The 21568-nt window shown below is 44.9% G+C and overlaps 1 long non-coding RNA gene across 12 annotated transcripts in view, besides 1 other annotated feature; it reads left to right on the top strand.

The window, feature by feature from the left end:
• DIRC3 (disrupted in renal carcinoma 3) overlaps positions 1-21568 on the top strand; it is a 506425-nt gene that overhangs the window by 159445 nt on the left and 325412 nt on the right. The gene's annotated exons all lie outside the window — the stretch shown is intronic.
• Positions 20656-21363: an enhancer, noted in NCBI's record as "H3K4me1 hESC enhancer chr2:218474359-218475066 (GRCh37/hg19 assembly coordinates)". NCBI's record gives its function as "activates a minimal SCP1, AML or CMV promoter by ChIP-STARR-seq in naive H9 embryonic stem cells {active_cell/tissue: H9 hESC(naive)}" and the evidence as "EXISTENCE:reporter gene assay evidence [ECO:0000049][PMID:30033119]".

The following is a 21568-nucleotide window of genomic DNA, read 5'->3' as shown; positions in this document are numbered from 1 at the left end:
TTTCTTCCTTATGATGGGACATGCATACTTAGATTAATAATGGGTATTAGTAGGGGTGGGAGGAGTAGCTGTAACATTATGTGGAAAGCAAGTGGGAGAATCATGAAAAAAAATAATCCCATAGATGGAGAAGAATAGAAAGAAGGAAAGGAGCATTGCCTAGTGTTGGTTATTGATGGTTAAGCTCAGCTTTTATTTATTCAATAGGCCTGCAGATGTAGACTTCTAGTATTTTCTCAAAGAGTCAGAAGAATAGGTTGACTTTACTCAGTTGTGGTGTTTTCAACAGGGACCCAAAGACTTTGGAACTTGAAGTCTGAAGAGTAGGGAGACTTCTTCCCAGGAGCTGACACTTCTGGAATTTCTGCCACAGGAACTAAGTGTTTGTTTAGCATCAATCCTATGAGATGTTTAGCAAAAAAAGACGTGTCCCAATAAATTCTGAAAATTCTGCAAACTCTCTCTTTTGGTGAGAACGTTGTACAATACTATAGCAACGTCTCTGAAATCCTGTAGGGTAAGGGAAACTATTTAATTTTGTTTAACCTTGAGGCACTCAAGTGTATTTGAGAACAGAGTCATTTAAATTTTGAAACAAACATCTACTAATCCCACACAACTGGTGTTCTATGGCTCTGACTTTGGGAAATGCTACCCCTTGGTGAACTCTGCCAGTGGATGCTTTGCTGCACAGTTGCAGTGCCTGATCAGGGTCTGTGTGAGTGGGATTTTATTGCTCTCTAGATCCTGGGAAGGACATGTACATGGATCTATATTTCATTTTTGATAAAGCAACCAAGGGCATCCTAAAACTCCAGACTCAAGGTATAAACCAAAAATAAATAAAATAAAAACAGAGCAACTATAGTCAGTGGTGTAACAGCTAGCCCACTTTCAAATCTCCCACTGGTGACACACGTAAGTTGAAGAGGGAGGAAATATAGTAGCGAGTAGATAGAAGCGGGCAGTTTGCCTAAATTAATGCCTCCATCTGGAGAGAGAGAAACCATAATGAAGGCTATCTTAGGCTGTGTTCTTAGAACAGAGAGCCTGAGGCTAACATGCTAACATCTTACTGAAAAGTGCAGTCCTAAGGTGGCAAGAAGGAGGGCTACAAAAGATGAAGCAGGAAAGGAGGGAAAGGAAATACAAACTTGTGTGTTACTGAGTTTGCCACAGCCTTACAAGAAGACACACAGTGAGCTGTGTGTTCCCACGGGAAATCTTTGGAGGAACTGTAAGAAACAGTGTCGGAAGATCTTGGAACAGTCCTTTGGAAAAGCAGAGAGGAAGAAGAACTTATCTGCTGCATCCTTCTTGTCTCTTGCCTCTTATATTCAGAGGCTACCCTTTGAGGCAGCTGCTGGGAAAGCCAGAGCCTCCATGCATCCAGCTGGGTTAGACATGGGCAATAGAGCTGCTGAGCCTCACACCACAGCAGGCATGCTAGAGGCCATGCCAAAGCCCAGCTCCTGCTCTGTGGGGTGGCTGAGATGGCTGGCAGTGTTAGAGGATAAGGTGATGGCAGTTGGTAACATCTGAGATGCCAGTGAGCTAGCAAATGAGGTCCAGGGGCAGGTGGGGCCAAGCCAATCTGGAGAGAAAATAAATGGAGTCTAGCATAAGGACTATCTTGAGAAATAGAAACAGACATAATTCCTTTGGAGGGAGAATGCAGTAAGTTACTTTTTTCCAGTGTCAGATTTTGGGACCTAGGCATGATGATAGAGGATGGACAAGATAGGGCCAGGGAGTCAGAAAGCCAACAATCCCATATTGTCTTTTGACATTTGGCAGAAGCCACATCTATGCAGTGGAGGATGCCCTTGAGCCACTTTTCTGTACTCTCCCCAAGTAGCAACTACATCCGGGGGCGATCTCCAACCTGGTCCAGAAGATGGGGGGCCTTGTGTTTTAGGGGTTAGTTTTGCCTGTTCTTGCATCCAGACTATGGCAAGTTTATTTTGGTTGAAACTTGGCTCATCTACTCCCAGAGACCGATGCCTCCTTTGTATGGAAACTCTCCTTCACTTTGTGGTTTCCAGACGGACACTTGGTAGGCCTGGCCCAGCTGGAAGGCCATCTAGAGTTACATCTTCATAGGGGCTCAGACAGATTGTTTTCCTCAAGCTTCTCAAATGTTTTGCAAATGAAAAACAAAAAGGGGAAAAAAAAGAAAAGGAAAAAAGCAAAACAACCCCTCCCCTTCCACCACATAACTTGGGCAAGGACCTAGGGTGGCTTCTGAGTTTCTGGTCTATAAGAACAGAGCATCCCCTCCTTCTGGGAGGTAGAACACTTAGCACAATGTTTTAGAACCATGGGGCAAAGCGAGGCTGAGTAGGAATCAGAGGTCTGTGTCTGGGCATGAGGTTTAGGGGTTGGGCTGATTTGAACACTGAGTTCATCTCAAGTTGCCATTTTTACACTGTAAGCTGCTAGCAGGGTCAGGGTGGTTATATAACTTTCCTAAGGTCACATGGCAGCACACAAGACATTGGCTGTAACTCAGGCATGCCTGAGTCCAAAATCTGTTTGAATCTCTTCCTTACCCCATGGGGTAATGCCTCCCTTCAAGGCTCCTAGGCCTAGGCCTGGTGGGTGATGATGATCGAAGGCTTCTTGAGGGCCTTCAATTCCCTGTGGAGCAATTGCATAGTACCATCCTCAGAGGTGAACATGATTAAATTAAGATAAATTTAGAACCTGGGAAACTTGGACATCTGTCAAGGCTTCCCACGTTGACATCCTTTCCTTATCCCCTTTAGGGACTGGCTCTCCTCTGCTGCTAGAAAAAGCCATTGTGGCATTCCTGCCTCTGGGTTAGGCCTGGGTTTCCTTTTGGCTTGGTTAAATTTCTGATTTGTTCCTGGATGTGGCCTCTGTTTACTGCTGTGACTGCCTATGGCAAAGGTCACTGTGGTCATCCCCCAGCTTCTGAGCACTGGGATTCCTAAAGAAGTCCACAGTAGAAGAAAATGGTCTTGCCTGTTTTTGCTCTAGTTTGTAATTTTCAGATTCATCAAAGTGCCATTTATTAATGCATTTGGTTTTAAGTACAACCTTTGAAAAAGTTGCTTTAATTTTGACTTTGCTTGGAACCTTCCAGACAACTTATGTCATTGCTTAACATACAGGGCCATTTTTAGCATGATTGTTATTACATCTCAGAGAAATAAGATTCTAGAACCAAAGTTCCCTAAGAAGGCCCAAATCGCCTAAATATACAAGGGTTATGCTAGAAATATATGTGTCCCTTGGCACTTCTTAGATGCCATTTTATTTCAAAGGCAGAAGGGGCTTACTTCTTTATAAAGACCAATACAACTCTCTTTGGATAATTAGAAATATATTCACTAATAAAATGTTAAATCTGGGAAGGATCTTTGAAAGCAGGTAGGCCAGTGATTTTCAAATATATTTCATGAAAACCTGGGGCCTCGTGAAGGAGTTTCAGGGATACTACAAACATTTATTTTATTCACATTTCATTCTAAAAAATATGTAAACCACTTTAAAAGTTCTAATAAAAGTAACATATATGAGATGCCACACTTTTATGTATTTGAGAACTCCAAAAAGTATGTTGTCAGGTTGTTAGGCAATGTTAGTTACTATAAAAAATTACACAGTGGTTCCAGTAAAATTATAGAATAAAGCCTAAAATTGGTGTTCTTGAATGCTGGGCACCTCTCCTGCAAGCAGAGACGTGGGGTCCCCAACCTTTTCCATCTTGTGGCCCCACCATCTTTCACTCAAGACTTCCAGGTTCTCTGTGTTTCTCTGCATTGAGCCAACAGAAAAGAAAAGAACACGAGAGATAGGGTGTCTAAGGCTCTTTGGGTGCAGTGCACATCCTTCCTTTCACATGCTATTGGCTAGAAATCTGTCACGTGGCCACATGTAACCGTAAGGAACTCTAGGAAATGTAGTCCACCTGTCTGGAAAGAAGAAAAAGAACTGGACTTGTAAACAGCTAACCTGTCTCTGCGTTACCAGGTTCTCTCTCCTAGGCACATACTTACATAGTTGGAAATCAGATCTGTTGATCTTAGGAATAACCATTTTTTTTTTGAGACGGGGTCTTGCTCTGTTGCCCGGGCTGGAGTGCAGTGGCATGATCATGGCTCACTGCAGCCTCAACCTCCTGGGCTCAAGCAATCCTTGACTTGCAGCCTCCCGAGTAGCTGTGACCAGAGGTGCGAGCCACTGTGCCCGGCTAATGTTTTAATTTTTTTGTAGAGGTAGGGTCTCACTATATTGCCTAGGCTGGTCTTAAACTCCTGGCCTCAGGTGATCCTCTCATCTTGGCCTCCTGAAGTGCTGGGATTACTGGCATGAGCTACCATGCCCAGCCCAAATAGTCATTCTTAAACCATTTATCTGTGTGAATCTGGATTTTGAGACTGTGTGATTAAGGTGTCAGATTAATAAAAGGTGTCAGCTTATATTCATAGTTCTGGACCTGTTATTTTTGTATTCATGAAAACAGCCTCATTTATCTCATTGGTCATGTAAATATCAAGTAAATCTTATACATTTTAACTTAAGAAATGTTTTATGCTCATAAAATGCTACTTTTAATATGCTCTATAAATTATGAAGTTCTACTGCTAAAAAGCCTTGAAAATAAAACCACCGATCAAGTGCAATTTCCTTATTTTATAGGAAATTGAGGCACAGAGAGAATAGCATACTTGCCCATGGTCGTACATTGATAACGAAACAGCTGGTATTTGAATTCAGACTTCCAGGCTCTTAGGTCAGTGCTTTTTCTTCCATTTCAACTTGTTCCAGGCCTTCATGGCCCTCATAACTCAAATATTTTTCAGCCCATTTTCATTTTCTCAATCTTCAAGGGAGAGAACAGCTGAAGTGTAAGGGTTGTTAAATCTGTCAGAAGATTTAATGTCTCGCATTTTTGGTCCAGCTGCTTCATGAATCAGTATTCATCAAGCACTTATTGAGCATTTATTATATGCCACACATGATGCTGGGAGCTGATGATGCAGTGATGCAATAGGCATCTTTCCAGAAGGATCTTGCAGTCCAGCAGAGGAGCCAGATAAAATATATCATGGAACAAAAGTAGAAATGTATATATTTGCAAATAGGTGCTATGAAGGAAATAAGAAAGGGATGAAATAGAGAAAAACTAGGTGAGGTGCCCTCCTTCAGATGAAGAGATTAGGAGCCAATGATGTCCTTGGCTTGGTTCTGGACACATTCCAGGCTTGGCCATGTGAATAAGCCACGGTCCTGGAAGGAATGGCATCTTTCCCCTCTGAACATTACCAGTGAGATTCTTGGCCTGAGAATGTAGGTCCTCAGTGTTTTTGCGGCATAAGCAACATAAAACTGTCGGAGGTTGCAGAATGTGCACAGATGTTGAAATAAGTACAAATAATTAAAAGATGAAAGTGAGTCAAGCTTCCTCCAAGAACTAAATAAGGAAAGGGTTTTCCCTGATGGCTGATGAAGTAGCTAAGTGAAATATCAAAGACAAATAGCTTTTCCATTTTCTTAAAGGAGGAGGTTGTGAAAAAATTTTATTAAATATTCATTGGCATACTTGCTGCCTTTGCCTTCTCTCTGAGTTTTTGTATCTGCAACCTGTTCTGGAATCTTTCTATGAAGACAGATGAGGCAAGACTATGCAGGTGGTGGGTATTGAGATAGACACAGACCATGGAGCAGTGGGCATAGATGGAAGTGTGTATGTGGTGTGTATTTTGGACCGCGTGTCCAGGAGATCACGATGGGTGTCCTCACAAGCTTCTGAAAGGGGGTGATATGCTGGGAGGGATCACGCGATATCTTAGAATGACAGGGTGCTAGATGAGAAAAGGATCTTGAAGAGCATCTATGGGTTCAATCCCCCCCTTGTTTTCTATGCAAGAAGACTGAGGCCAGTGAGAGGAAATGATGTGCTCAGGCATGCACAGTGAGACAGCGATTGGAGCCAAGACTAGACTTCAGTGCCCTCATTTCCACCCTAGACCTGCTCCAAGACTCTATGGAGCCTTCATTGAGGAGCGTGGGAGTAGGGGTTAGTCTAAAATTGAAAAAAGAATTTGGGTCGAGTGCAGTGGCTCACAGCTGTAATCCCCACACTTTGGGAGGCTGAGGTGGGCAGATCACATGAGGCCAGGATTTTGAGACCAGCCTGGTCAACATGGCGAAACCCCATCTCTACTGAAAAAAATAAATAAATAAAAAAATTAGACAGACATGGTGGTGCACATCTGTAATACAGCTCCTCGGGAGGCTGAGGCACGAGAATCTCTTGAACCCAGGAGGCAGAGGTTGCAGTGAGCTGAGATCATGCCATTGTGCTCCAGCCTGGGTGACAGAGCAAGACTCTGTCTCAAAAAAAAAAAAAAAAAAAAAAAAAAAAGATAATTTGATTCCAGAACAGAAAGCCCTATCTTCCACCTGCTTTGGAGGCTGGAGTGATGTGGCTAATGTAGAAAAGAGATGAGGACTGGAAATATACAGCCCAGTGTGACCACTGTAGCCTCATGGCTGCAGACAGCAGGAGATCAGATGGAGGATGGGGTGAATGAGGCAATTGTTTTCCAACATCTCAAGTTGAAATTATGACCCTGGTGAGAACCATATATGTACTCATACTTTATGGGTACAATGATACTTTTATTTATTTTAATGAGATTTTCTTTTTCTCTCCTTCTCTCAAAACATTTGACTAAGTTTGTATAAAGAAGTAGGGTTAATTTATTTTGAGTGAGGACAAGGAATCCAGCATAATATTTTTTGAACCTTTGAAGGGCCATGTCATATTTCTTTTCACCCTATGCATTCTCTTGGTTTCAAGCACCGCTGGCATGTGTGTTAGTCCTGAGTCCACATTCCTCTTGTGGGTACCACTGGTTGGATAGCCATCTTCACCTCCTTCTCCCACAGTAATCTCAAACTCAAAATAATTTTTCTGTCTTGGGCTGAGTTTTCCAGAAAGTGGAGCCTGGGACAAAGACTTATGTATTGTCTTAGTCACAGTTCTCCAAAGAACAGAACCAAAAAGATGTGTGTGTGTGTGTGTGTGTGTGTGTGTGTGTGTGTATAAATATATACAAAATCTATTGTAAGGAATTGGTGCATACAATTATAGAGACTGGCAAGTCCAGAATCTGTAGGATGGGTCAGCAGGCTGAAGGCCCAAGCAGAGTTGATGTTGCAGCTTAAGTCTGACTGCCATCTGCTGTCAAATTCGCTTTTGCTTGAGGAAGGGCAGTCTTTTATTATATTTAGTCCTTCAACCAATTAGATGAGGCCCACCCACATTATGGAGGGCAATCTGTTTTGCCCAAATCCGCTGGCTTTACTGTGAATCTTATTTAAGAAATGCCTTCACAGAAACATCCAGGATAATGTTTGACCACATGTCTGGGTACCATGACCCAGCCAAGTTGACACATAATATTAACCTTCATATATGTGAATATCTTATGTAGGAAAGTGATCTCAAGGAGAAGTGAGGGAAAAGGAGCATGAAACAAGGAAGTGGGGAGATCCAAAACAATGAGGAATTCCCAGGTTGGTCATGGGAAACTGGCTGATTCAGAGGCTGGGTGGAGGAGGCATTTTTTTCCATCAGATCTCAGCCTCTACTGGTTACCTTGAAAGCAGAAATCATATCCAGTCATCTCTTCACATGCACATCACAGAAGTCTCAGCTTGAACCAAAATAGGTGCTCAGGAGGATATTTGCAGATGCGGTGCAGAAGGGACTATGCTTGGACCATTCATGGAAGGACCTCCTACCTGATACCCTGATGCAGAAGGCTGGGGAATGATCACATTATGTCCTCTGGTTGAGTTTCAGAACAGGTGAGGGCCTTGGTTATCTGGACTGTGTTAGGGATAGACTTAGCTCAACAAAGAGGGGCTGGGGAGAATCCATGTGCCTCAGTGGAGCCCCTTTCCCTTACAGTGAGGGCCTTAAGAAGCCGAAGTGTAGTTTAAGCAGAAGCTGAGTTCTTGAGATTCTATCCAGGGGAGGTTAAGTGTTGGCCCGTTTCCTGAAGAGCCAGTGCTTCTAGGTTCTGAGAATTTGTTCCCTAATCTCTGCTTACAGGACTCCAGGCGGCTGGAGTCTGCATGAAAGGGGCCTTTGTCTGATATGGGAATGGTTTTTGGGGCTAATCTCTCCTTGGATGCATTTTAATTCACTTTAATGACTCTGCCTCCTGTCAGGCTTTTCTTCTGTGAGGGGGGTTTGTTAAAGAGATTAGGAGGAGTGAACATGAGCCCCTGAATCTCGCCTTCCTCTGAGGTTGCTGTTACAGGAAAAATAGTGTTCTGCAAAATGTATTAGGATGCTCTGGGAGCCAGTGGGGAAGGAGCAGAGTGGAGAGTAGGAAAAATATATATCTAATAAACACACTCACATATAAACACTCTGCATGTACTTACACCAAGCACGTTCACCAGCCTGCTGCCGTTTCCCCCAGCCCCCACCACCAGTGGTGGGAGTCGAAGCAGACAGGACAGAATGATGTCATCCCTAGGACACTGTCCTTTCTCTTGTCTCTCTCTCCCTCTCCTCTAGTTCTGTATAAACACAGCTGTTTGTGAGGAATGCTGGCTTGGGAAAACATAAACTGTCTGCATTAATGACCTTTCCTCCCTGCCAAACACCCCTTCCTACTGAACGTGGGAGACTGGAATGCTTTCAGCCCAGCAGGCCCATTGTCTTCATGTCTGCAACACCAGGTTTTTTAGCTTTCTGCTTGGGCCTGGGGTGACCAGACTCAGGGACCGTACAAAGCCCAGCAGGGCAGACAGAAGTTCATCAGCACTCTGGTTGCAGGTGATACTTCAGACCACCTGTGAAAGATTCCTAGGGGACTGCAGAGAGGGGAGGAGGGCGTCTCTTTTCTGGGCTTGGGGAATGCAGGGTGGAGGTTGGAGGGATAGCAGGGATCCACAGTGGATACAGGTGCTCCCTGATCTGCCAACTTTGCCCACTGGGAAGCCAAGGGGGAAGAAAATAGCAATGGTGGGCTTTGGCCCTCTACTTAGTGTCAAGCTATCGAACTGGGCATTAAGGGCAACCCCACCCTCATCATAGCAACTCACCCCAGCTTCCACTGCATTTACAGTCGCCATTTGGGACCAAGAGCCTTTTATCCTTTCAAAGAGTAGAACACAGGGGCAGCTAAAGGGAGAACCCAAGCTTGAACTCATGCAGTCCAGTTTCTTTTGAAATCCCACAGTACTGTGGTCCATAGTAATTTATTGACGGTGATTTTCCATTTCCAGATGGTGACCTTGGGGCCTTGGAGGTTAGGATGGTTTTTATTCAAGCTACTGAACTTGGCATTTTGGCTGAGTACATGTTTGCTTCCTGGCCACTTGCCCCCAGCCCAGTCTACTAAATCTCTCTCTGTGTCCCACTTTCTTACGTGGTTTTGTGACCACAGCTGCAAAGAAGTAATGACTGCTCTCTGGGCCTCCCTTTCCAAGGGTCAGGCACCTTAGATGGGGCCCAGGACAGCTGCCATTGTGGAATGAATGGGATTCAGTGCCAGAAAGGTGGGGGTGGGTGGGGAGCTAACAGTCTTCTGAAGTCTCCTCTTGGGTTTCCATGGGGAGAGAAGACAAGCCTTCACCCACGTATTCATGCTAAGTACAAATCACAGAGACATACCATTGGGCTACTGGTTACCTCTCTTGCCTACAAGTTGCCAAGAAAAATGCAGGTCTATAACCCACACTTACGGACTACCTGCTGTGTGTTGGGCAGGGTACTAGATGCTTTGCATCTGTTCCAATTTTATCCTTGCAACAACACAGTGTTATTAGGTAGTGCTATTTTATATTTAACAATGAAGAAATTGAGAAAGGTAGTTTCAGAAACACTATTCAATGAGTCAGTGATGAAGCCAGGATTCACACCACTTTGAATTTTAATGTCTATCCATTCCAGGAATTCAGAAGGAGATTGAAGAGGTAGCAATGAACACAATAAACCAGATAGATAGACAAAGGCGGCAATTGCCTGTGTGAGGTGATTTGAGGGATAAAAACAACATCCCTCACCTTCCCAAATATTCCTCTTACAGCCTGAAATCTATTACAGTCATTCCTTTGAGTTAAGCATTGCCCTCTGATTTTGCTGTGTTTTTGAATGCAAATATTTTTAGAGAGAAAATCATTTGGCAATTAAAATGCTTTATTAAAAAATCCTCATTTTCTTTTAAAATGTTTTACTTTCAATTAATTGTATTCCTTGTAAGGTAATACTTAACAGAAAGTAGTTTGTATCAGAAAAAATGACTGGGGGGGGGACCTCTTAAGGGAGTTGAGAAGTGTTAATCTTTGACATTTACTATTATAAGTGCATTTTAAGTAATTCCTAGAAACTGATAAAATCTGTTAGGAGCAAAGGATCTCTCTCTCTCTTTTTTAAGTAGTAGAAAATTGTACCCTTCTGATCTGAAAAAGAGATAGACATGGCTGTTAACTTTCTGAGATATACCCACATAATTGTAATCCCTTGGGATTCTGCTTCAAGGAAAGAAAAAGAAGGAATTTGAAAGATAGGTCGGGCTGAAGCTTCAAACATTAAAAGATGAGATGATATTGGTAAAAGCACTTGGACGAACCCTAGAGTTAAATGAATAGCAGCTATTATTATTCCTCCTAAGAATTATATTGACAATGAAGGAAGAAAATGAAAGAAATAATTTCCTAAGGCAGTATTTCCCAAGAGCTTTCTGCAGACCCCTATGTCTTGGGTTTTTAATATGTGCTACATGAATGCAGTGTTTTCTGGTTAACCACACTTGGAAAACACTGGGTTAAACAAAGTTAAGCATGTTTCTTTACTATAGGAGTTATCAGAACTTTTAAGATATAGGTGTGCATGGTAATTCTCCCAGGGGGTAGACAGTATAGTATAGAGGATTTCCTAAATCTATTTGACCAGCATAGAATCCTTTTTTGAGGAGTGGGGGATGGGGGTGGCATCTCATAAGACCAAATATTCCCTGGAACATAGTTTGAGAAACACAGGTCTAATCAATAGTCATGCTGGCTATAAGAGCTTTTGACACTAAGATGTCTTGAGGCCTTAGAAAAGCAGGGCATTATATTCCCAGTTAAGAGGGGACAGGGAGTTATAGATGTACAGACAATTATTCACATCCATATCAGTGAATAAGTACAGGGAATTGAATAAAAAGGCATTTTGACTGGGCCATTTAAGTCCATTTCATCTCTAAGATGTGCCAAGGTCCCAAGCTTCAGTAGAATTGTGTCAGAGAGACAGGCATTGGGCAGTAAGTAGCCCCATCCTCCCACCCTGCTAACTGAAGGCTTGCCTCGGGTCTCTCTCTTCTCCAAGTCATTCTAGTCACTACTATTAATCTTGGCAGATCTTTGATCATGTCACAACCCAAGGTATGTAAAATTAAACTCAGGTTCTCCAGTCTGACATGTAGAGCCCCTCACTTTTTGGCCCTGCAATTATGACATGGTGGTTTAGATGGTCTGAATTCAAATCCTAGCTTCACTACTTAATAGGGATGTGAGCTTGGGCAAATTATTTAACTTCTCCATGCCAAAGAGAGATTTAGTAGACTGGGCTGGGGGCAAGGGTCCAGGAAGCAAGCATGTTCTCAGCCGAAATGCGAAGTTCAGTTTTTTCCACCCGTCAAATGGGAGTGGAAGCATCACCTTACTTACTTAACTGAGTCATGAGGATTAAACAAAGACCACCTGTCATATATTAAGAGCTCAATGTTGTTATTGTTGACATCTTACCTGGTGTACTCTGAACTCTGGTTCCAGCTGAAAGCAGAGACTCACCATGCATTTCTCCATCTTTGTTCATGTCCTTTCCTCCACTTAAAATGCCTTGCCTGTTCTCATCTTTGCCTGCAGAAAAAACTGCAAGATGTATCTCCATGCTGCTTGCTCCATAAGACCTTCCTGGATTTCCCAACTTTCCCTCCTCTAAATCCCCCACATCCCTCTGTAGGTTTCTGAGACTTTGATCATTCAGCTTTGTATTTTTGTGTTGCGTAATTTATTTTATCCTTGGAAAGATGTTTTATTTGTCTTTGATTTTCTGATGCCTGGTGTAATGTCCTTTATCGACTGGATTTTCACTGAAGGTTAGCTGAACTGTTTAATTTCAGGGCATTCTACTGAGATACAGATACCCCCTTAGTAAAATTCTCTCTTAAGTCCTTACCTGTACATGCTTCACCAAACTTTTTATAATTTGTCAAGGACTGGTGAAAATGAGCTCTAGGCTAGGCTAGGCTAGGCATAGAGGTAGAAGAAGCCAAGAATATAGAAGAGGATTATATATAACAATTATATGTCTTACATTGTTTTTCAGGAATGTTCCAATTAAAACTATTCTATCCCATTTTTCCTGTTCATGTTCACCATATATATGATTTTTGGCATTTAATAATCCATAGTAGGCATTTAATCAATGTTTATTGATTGAGTGACTAAATAAAAGAATAGACAACTATTGCTCCAGGCCAACCTTCCTGCTACGTTGGGTCCCACAGGCCACGTGTCCTGCACAATCAGGGAGTCCATTTACAGAGACAAGATGTAAAGTTTGACCCCAGTCAGGACAAGGCGAGGATTACTTTAGAAATCATGTCTGAGACATAAGCTGGTTCTGTTTCTAGATGGAAAGAAGGAAACATTTTCTAACTTTTCTGCCTTCTAATAGTGCACAGCCCTTTTCCGTCTTTCGAATGAAAAAGTAGCGTTGCATAGCCGCTGTCATCTCTCACCGAGCTCTCACAGCCCTTTGCACATTCCACAAACCACTATTAGCACTTTTGTCACCACTGATACGTCTGTGCCTTCATTGTGGGGTCCGTAGAACCATATTGGTATCCCCAGCCCTAGGACACAGAGCCTGGCACATAGTAGGTACTCAGCAGCTGATGCTGGGGAATGAGAAAATGTCCTACATGTTTCCCTAAACAGAGGCCCAGCAGTTGCCTCCCAGCTCCTCCTGTGTCTGAAATCTGAACTCCATTAGCAACCCCCTTTCCCTGACCCTGATTTGAACTTTAGTTTGCTAAGCTGAAAGAGAGAAAGACGTAAAATGGGAAGAGGAGCAGACATTTTTTTTTTTTTTTTTTTTTTTTTTTTGCCTCACGGGCTATCCCACCCCCTTTGCCCGTGCATTCCAAGACAGATCAGGACCCAGGTGGAGCTGGCTGCTGTGTACCCCCTTCCCTCACAGGCGGGCAGGAAAGCCTGGCTGGGAACCTCCACGGCCCATCGGGTGTGCATGGGCCATGCTGTGACCTGCGGCTGAACTGCTGAGGCCCGGTCTGGTCTTAATACCCAGGCAGCTGCTCCTGAGGCAGGAGTCCTGGGGGAAGGAAAGACCATGCTAAGGTGCAGCTCCAGAGTGCCACAGTGTAAATTGCTGTTTGCACACTGGAATCATTTATGAAAGGTTGGGTTGCCTGTCCCAACTGGGTAGACCTGTGGAAAGAGGTCCCACACATCTCTAAAAATGCTGAGATGAGAGAGACAAAAACATGCAGGAAGACCAAAGATGGGAAGTCATCCCCTTCCCTATGCTGAGAGAGAGAGATAGAGATATATATATATATATATATATAGAGAGAGAGAGAGAGAGAGAGAGATTAAAGAAGGGAACACCAGGAAATACTCTGATACTATTCATGTATATGAAAATGAAGTAATTATGCTTCATTTTCCTGTAGTCACTCCTCTCCGATTCTAGGTAAACTCTGAAAGTGGGTAGAGCTCCGCAGTGCAGCTGGGACACTGAGGCCAGAGAGAAGCTTCTTGGCTCAAAACTTAGATTCCAGGCATCTCATGAATTCCTCTCCGGGAGATGTGTAACTAAGAATATGTGGTCTGAAGTGACTTCGATGATTCTCTACTCTAATCTCCTTGTTTTTCAAATAGAGCATCTAAATGCTTCATATTTGGTTCCAAAGTGCTATGGTTTGAATGTGACTGTCAAAAAAAACATGTGTTGGAAATTTAATTTCCAATGCTACAGTTTTGGGACATGGGGCCTAATGAGAGGTGATTAGACCAAGAAGGTGGGGTGAATGGATTACTGCTGTTATCATGGGAGTGGGCTTGTTATTGCAGGAGTGGTTTCCTTATAAAAGTGCAATTTTAGCTATTTGGCCTCTCTCTCTCTCTCTCTGTCTCTCTGTCTATCTCTATCTCTTTCACCCTCCACCTTCCACCATGGGATAACGTAGCAAGAAGTCCCTTGCCATATGCTGGCCCCTTGATCTTAGACTTCCCAGCCTCCAGAACTGTAAGAAAGTAAATTTCTGTTCTTTATAAATTATCCAGTCTGTGGCACTTAGAAAAAATAATAGCACAAAATAGACTAAGACACAAAGGAATGGAAAATTATGTTGGGGTTAGGATCCTGGGGGTCAAAGAAGAGTGATTGCCTCCCTTATCCTTGGGTGAAGAGGAAGAGACTCATATGTGCCTTCTAGGAAACATCATGCTATTTTGTTTGGTCTCTTATTCTCCATCTGCTTGTCCGTGTTCACTGCTAACGAGGGATCCTGGCTGAAATGTAGTGGTCATGTGGTGGTGTTGGGAAGAAGAAGGCTCGTACAATGAGATTTGATGTCCCTGTCCCACACAGGGATGGTTCCACTCTCAGAACGAGGCCCAGTCTCTATCTGCCAGAAGTTCTGACAGAAGAGCAGAGTTTCAGCACTGTCTTGTGCCATAGCATAGAATGCATGGATTTCCAAAGGCAAAAAGGACTGGCAGACGACACCCAGTGAGAACTGGAACCCTTCACCCATTCTGCAAGGTGTTTCAGGCAGTGGCTGGAGGCAGAGGATGATGCACTTCCATCTTAGTGAATTTCTAGTGTCTCAGAGCCTCTGGCCTGTCCATAGAGCATAACTGTGCCTGTTGAGGGCATGGCTCTAGCACATCTACTTTCATCCTCTCCTTCCCACCAAACCTGGCCCTACTCTTTGTTGAGATGGTCAGAGGAACAGAAAGGGGATGAGTAGAAGAGAAACAGATGAGGTTTTGGAAATGACCAATGCATTTGTTAGGTGGACTATGAAGGTCAGCTGGGCAAGTGTCATCAATCCTATTTTACAGATGGAAACTGTGAAGATTAGAGAATGTGTTGGCCAAGCTCCTTAACAGTTATAAGAAGAGACACACTAGGTCAAATTCAAATATCATTTCCTGGGGTTTATTTCAGATGTACAAAGGAACGTGGAATAGCGTGGAATGTGGTCACTACAGCAGAGCAGCACAGGGGAGCCTGTGCTTCCAGAACTGGGGGGTACAACACTGAGCAAACACTTCACCTCATTTAGGATTCACCATGATTTCCAGGAACTTGCCTTCTTATATATGAATTTTAATTTACCTAGTCTATGGGTTAGGATGTTTCCAACTTCAAAAAACCAAAAAGAGGCTCAAGCTTATTTAAATGATGGAGACATTTAAATCTCACATAGAGAAAGTCTAGAGGTAGGACAGACTCTCTGCCAAATTTCTAGATTGCTTTTTGTGTGTGTGATTTGCTCTTCTCTTTTCCCCTGGAAGGTTTGGTCTTGGCTCAGGCTGTCTTCCTTCATGGTTTCAAGAGGGCTGCCAGCAGCAGCTGGGGTAGCGTGCTTTCTTATTTCACATATAGGCAGATAGGGAAAGCATGGAATAAAAATCCTTCCTTTCTACCTAAATTGACCAACTTAGGTCATGCCCTCACTTCTGGACAACTAACATTGCCAGGGGAATGCCCTGTGTTGATTGGCCTAAACCTGAGTCCTTGAAGTAAACACTGGTCAGGAAGATGAGATTACCAGAACCTACATCTGAAGGCACACAGGGTAAGAGGGGGAGAGTAGACACTGAATAAAATTGAGGTCTCCTAGGAAGGAGAAAGGTGTGAGAGTTGCTCAACAAATACCCAAGAGAGTCCACCACACCTAGCATTTAAGCATCCCAAGGAGAGCTGTCAGGACCTGTGTGCTTGCTGGGAAGATGTCATGCTGTCCCATCTCTGAGGTTTTTGGTCTTTCCTACCCTCAGCCAGCTGATATGGCTGCTCCCTTCTTCCTGGCCCAAAAAGTTGTGACAGGGTGGCAGGGTTGTTTTTTCTCACCACCTGAGGCATACACTGTTGTAACTTTTGCAGGAAATGACTTCATAAAGTGATTTTCCTCCAAAGGGAACTACATAACTAGCAGGCTCCTAGGGGCTTTCTGGTGGACTGGGTTTCGAAAGGTTCAGCGTCTTACTCAAGGTCATGCACTGCTGACTGTCAGAACCTGCACTAGGAACAGGTCTTTCCATTACACCAGGAAGATGTCAATGTGGTAGAAATGATGTCAGCCCTTTGAGGGTAAGGCTATGAGTAAAGAATGCAAATTTAGACCTTGGGCAAATTCCCTAATTTCTCTAGGCCCCAGTTTACGCACTAATATAGTAAAGGAATCTTATTAGAAGATGTTAAAAGTACCTTCCAATTCTAAGAATACATGAATAGTTTTAGATAATGGGCGTCTTCCAAAAACCTGAAAACACTTGTTCTATTAGATCATTTAACTACAGATTATTTGTTTAAATAGTTTCCCAGGAGTGACCCAGAACATCCTACGTAATAAACCAGTTGTTAAATCATAAACAATATGGACAGGATTCATCATCATTATGCTTCTCAACTGAACATCCCTGGGGCCTTCTGGTTGCTTGGACACTCTGCCTAATGGAGTGTTGTCAGGGATTCCCTATGTGGGTGACCGCCTTTCCAAGAATTAGAAATAACAGACTATAACAAACACTAGAGCTCTGCTGGAAAAAATGTGCTTTTTTTCGGGGGGTAGAATGAAATGGATGAAAAACCAAAGAAATTTGCCTGTGTTCTTCTTTCATCTCCCTTCTTTTCTTGGTATCCTTGTTATCAGCCCCATACCACATCACTGTCAAGTTCTCAGCTTGTGGCTCACTAATTCCTACTTAACTAATTGAAATTTAGAGTGCTATGTGTTCTGGAATATTCATAGGAAATTTTATTTTATTTTATTTTTCTTTTTTGAGACGGAGTCTCACTCTGTTGTCCAGGCTGCAGTGCAGTGGCGAGATCTCGGTTCACTGCAAGCTCCGCCTCCTGGGTTCACGCCATTCTCCTGCTTCAGCCTTCCGAGTAGCTGGGATTATAGGCGCCTGCCACCACGCCTGGCTAATTTAAATTTTAAAGCCTCTAGACATAAAGGAATGCATATAGGAAGTTATAAGTAAGGGTAGCCTAGCATCCCCAGTGGAGCATTCCCCAGTGTTTGTTTTGTTTTGTTTTGCAGCAATTTTACCCCAAAACTCTTGTCCTGGGTCTCGTTGGCTTGTCTTGAGTCAGTGCCCATCACTGTGACTTTGATTGGCCAGGCTCAAATCAGGAGATAAGAGCAATGGAGTTAGGCACATCCAACCAAAAGACTGAGCATGTGAGGCCAAGTGGTTCCCCAAAGCTCATCAACAAAGGGAGGAGGTGACTTTATCCTAATGTGACAGGCCAGTGGGAGGATAGCTCCTACCAGGAAAGCCTTTCAGAACTTGGGGTGTGAGCCCCGGAGGGCAGCCACATGATCATGTGGGACCAGCCTGCTGTTTTCCCTTTTAAGATGGGGCCTCAGAAATGGTGAGGCTCCCTCAGTGTACACGGCAGCGTGGCAGGAAGGCCTCAGGAATGGAGCTGGGGAAGCGGTAACTGTGTTGTTGAATTTAGTTTGGGCTGTGTAGATGGAAATATCCACTGCAGTCTGAGTCATTTTTGCATCTACAGCTCAGAAAGGTGGAAGAGTGCCCAGCAGGAGCCAGGATCTGCAAATAAAGCCGCCATCAGGTGCACCATGTCCTAGTGGCATCTTAATGAGAGAGTGTGGCGCTGTGGTCAGCTGGCCTCCGGGTCATTATAGGGCTCTAGATTTGCCAGCCCCTGCTGTCTGCTTTACCATGGCATATGTCGACTCACACAGGCTGACAATGCACCGCAGCAGGTCTCCAATATACCTATACAGGCTGTCCTCCTTCCGAGCCCTCCTGGTAGCATGGCTGCCTGTCCCCTTTGCTACTTGTTTTGCAGGGCAGGGACAGTGGGATGTTGCCAAAATTCAGCTTTGTTCCGTGGGATTCATGGAGACCTTCTCAAAAACATCTGAGACCACTTCTGATCCAAAGTTTCATCTAGATGGGATAGTGGAGATGAGCCCTGCTCTTAATTTCCAGGGGGCAACTTAGTGACTCTTACCACCTCCCAGGTAGAAGGAAAGAGAATCCATCAGACACCATGATCCTGAGCCTAAAGCCATGGAGAATCACCAAGCATGGATTCCAGTGTCGGGGAAACCTTAACTGTATGAGGGGCATTTTGTTATTTAGTTCTTTTGTTAAATAGTTTGCAGACTGAGGGGACCAGAACCCAGAACTTTTAAAGCCTCAGTTACTTATTCCTTACTTATTCCACCTCCCTGTCAACTTTCTCCAAGTGAAGTGAGAGTGTAAAACAATTTAAAGGCGGGGACAGCAAAAAACAGCATGGGGCTGGGAGCTGTGCCCATTTTTAGGTTTAATATGTGTTTCTCCTCGTGTTTCTTGATCATTGCAGAGTTGGAAATGCTAGAGCCACAGGACACATTGGTCTTCTTTGTTGTTTCTCTTTCTACTTTTCTCCTGGAGGGCAGCTAAACTGAATTACAGAGAAGAGGTATCCCAGGTCACAAGCACGTCATGGCTAAAGAAGGTGGGAGAGAGGTAGGGGTCACACAGACATTATCTTCTAGAAAACTCCAGAGGCACTTCAGGCTCAGGGGAGGCAATTTTGATCCGTCCATGGAGGAATGTTTATAATCCAGAGTTGTTCCACTGTGAAACATGCTGCTTAGTGAGGTAGTGAGCACCTTGTTGGTGGAGGTGATCAAGCAGAGGCTGAAGCACCAGCAGACAGGCTCGCTCCTGCGTAAGAGTCCATGACTCAGCAGAGTGAATATCCCCCAGGCCCAAGATCCGCTGGGCTCAGAAGCTGTCCTTTGTCCGTGGTCCTGGCCTGGCTCAGATGCTGCATCTGAGGCCCAGGAAGTGCAGGCCCTAGGCCAGTCCCTGCAGTGCCTTGCAGAGTGTGTGCACCTGCCAAGACTTCTGCCCAGGTCTCCATCAACCACCGCCTGGATGAATCTCCAGATGGTGACATCCACCTAGCTTTTTGTGCTACTTCCTCCATCACTGCCCCCAAGTCCACAAAGCTACTGATTGTACTTTTACCCTCAGAAAAGACACATATTGGAGGAAAGGGGCTTTAACCTTCTCCCCAAGCCCCTACACAGAGCCTGCTTTTGAATGGTAAAGTTGGAGAAGGGAGTTTTTCATCTGTTTCCTGGTATGAGACCCATTGGATTGAACGCTGGGCAGGGCAAGAGTGAGAGTGAGCAGGGAAGGGCAGACAGACCTGTCTCATGTCTGGATATGCACCCCAATCCACAGTGGAGCTAGGAATGGGCAAAGTTATCTCTACCTCGCACAGCTCCCCGAGGCCACTAGCTAAGAGAGCACGTGTGAAGTGAGCTCCCTGCAGCTCCACCTGGGCCTTCCCCCTGGGGCCTGTGTCTATCTGTGACTCTAGGGTGGGCTGGTGTGGTTGAATGCTGCACTGGTTGGGGCTGGCGGTGAATTTGGAGGGCTATGAGCCTGTGGACCTTCTCAGAGGACAAAAATGAGGCCTGGAGAGTCCCACAGGGAGCTGGTGGCAGAGCCTGAGCACCTGTGTGCCCTGTGACTTCATGCTCCTTCTATCATGAGAGGCTGGCAAGATGTCCCTGCTGTTCCCTGGGCTGTGTGAACAGGATCCTAAAACATCTGACTGCAAAGGACACCCCTAATTCTCTGGCCCTTCTCCCATTGTGCAGGTGAGGAAATTGAGATTCAGAGAAACAAAATGCTTGGAAAGATGAAGTGACTTGCTCCACATACACATGGTGTTAAGGGTAGGCTCAGGTCACCTGCTCCAACCTCCCTGTCATCCCAAACTGGTAAGACAGCTTTCCTTAGAGCCCCATGGCACCAGACTCATGTAAGGCTAAAAACAACCAAACCAAATTTTCCACCGTACTTTTCCGTTTTCTCAAAGTATTTTCACAGTGCGATCTCATTTCCTCCTCACCTCAGTCCTCCCAGCAAGCAAAAGCTCCTAACAACAGGGCTTAAAGGTTTCCGTTTTGTAAGACACCACCCACGCACAGGCTGTGAGGGCCGCTCTGTGCCAGGCACTGGGTATGTTTGCACACCTGGTGAGCAGGAGGGTCACCTCCTCAGTGGCTCAGGGCGTCATGCAGACAGCTTGGTCACTTGTCTGTCATCCATGTCACTCAGCAAGTCACTGGCAGTCTTCAATCCTTGTCCCTGATGACTGGCTGCCTGGTCTCAGAGCAGGTGGGGCCCCCTGAGTGACGTTGTAAATGAGTGAGACTTCCCACAGGCCCAGAGAGAGGCATTTTCTGCAGCGTCAGGAGGTTTCTGCCACCAGGCAGTTGTCAGCCTTTTAGAATGTGTGCTGTGACCTTTGGCAGATGTCGAGCTGGGTGGGATGGAGCAGGCAGGTGAAGCCATCACCTGCACTGTGCGTGTTGTCACCTTGTATGATTGATTATAAAGGAGCGACCAGGACACCAGGTTGCCACATTCTCCCTCTTGTCCCTCCTTAGTGTCCAAGAGTTGAAGAGTCTCAGGGCTGGGAGGGCTCTGGGCAGAGGCAGGGCCAATGCATCTCCTCCCCCTCATGGTCCTGGCACAGTGTCTGTACAGCCAGGGCTCTAACAATGCCACATGTTGAGGCCCAGCCTCTTCCTGCAGGCAGCACCTGCAGCCTCTTCCTGCAGCCCACAGTCTGCCCTCTCCAGGGCTACATTCACCACCTGCTGTCCTCCTGAGCCTATGCATCCCCTGCCCAGGTGTGCATGCAGGACCTTGTGTAAATCATCTCGGATACAGGGAGATCCAGCCCACACTCCAGGAAGGCAGTGCCCACCTTCCCCTGCACCTGCTCCATCACCTCTCCCACACTCACTGTCCAGAAACTCCCTGTTGCTGCCTGAATCCCACTGGCTGAAGGCGAGTATTTCTTTGTCCTCTAGCCCCCCTTCCTCACCACTTAGATAAGCAGCAGCATGTGGCTCCAGAGCAGAGTGGGCGAGACCCTGGACCTGGCCGTAGTTCTCATGCTGCCTGTCTTCGCTCATTCTTCCTTAAGGACGGTCACCTTCGTTTCCACCTACAAAGCTCTTTGCCAGCCACAGCTCACTTGGGGTTTTATCTGTGAAGAATGTTGAGATGGGATTTATACAGTGGGGAGGAACAATCCAGTAAAGAACAGATACTCACAGAGGTTAAGGGACTGAGCCCATGTCACAAAGCTAGTGGGAAGCAGGGTGGGGTCCTGGTCATTTAACTCCCACTAGGGGCACTTGCCCTCTTGTGTCTTTTCTCGCTGCCCCATGCAGCCTTCCTCCTTCCCCTTGGATTCTTGTCTAGTCCTCCA

The sequence above is a fragment of the Homo sapiens genome, chromosome 2, assembly GCF_000001405.40.
Source record: "Homo sapiens chromosome 2, GRCh38.p14 Primary Assembly".
Lineage (NCBI taxonomy): Eukaryota > Metazoa > Chordata > Mammalia > Primates > Hominidae > Homo > Homo sapiens.
The sequence above is the reverse complement of the archived record's forward strand: the minus strand, read 5'-3'. Positions and strand labels throughout refer to the sequence as shown.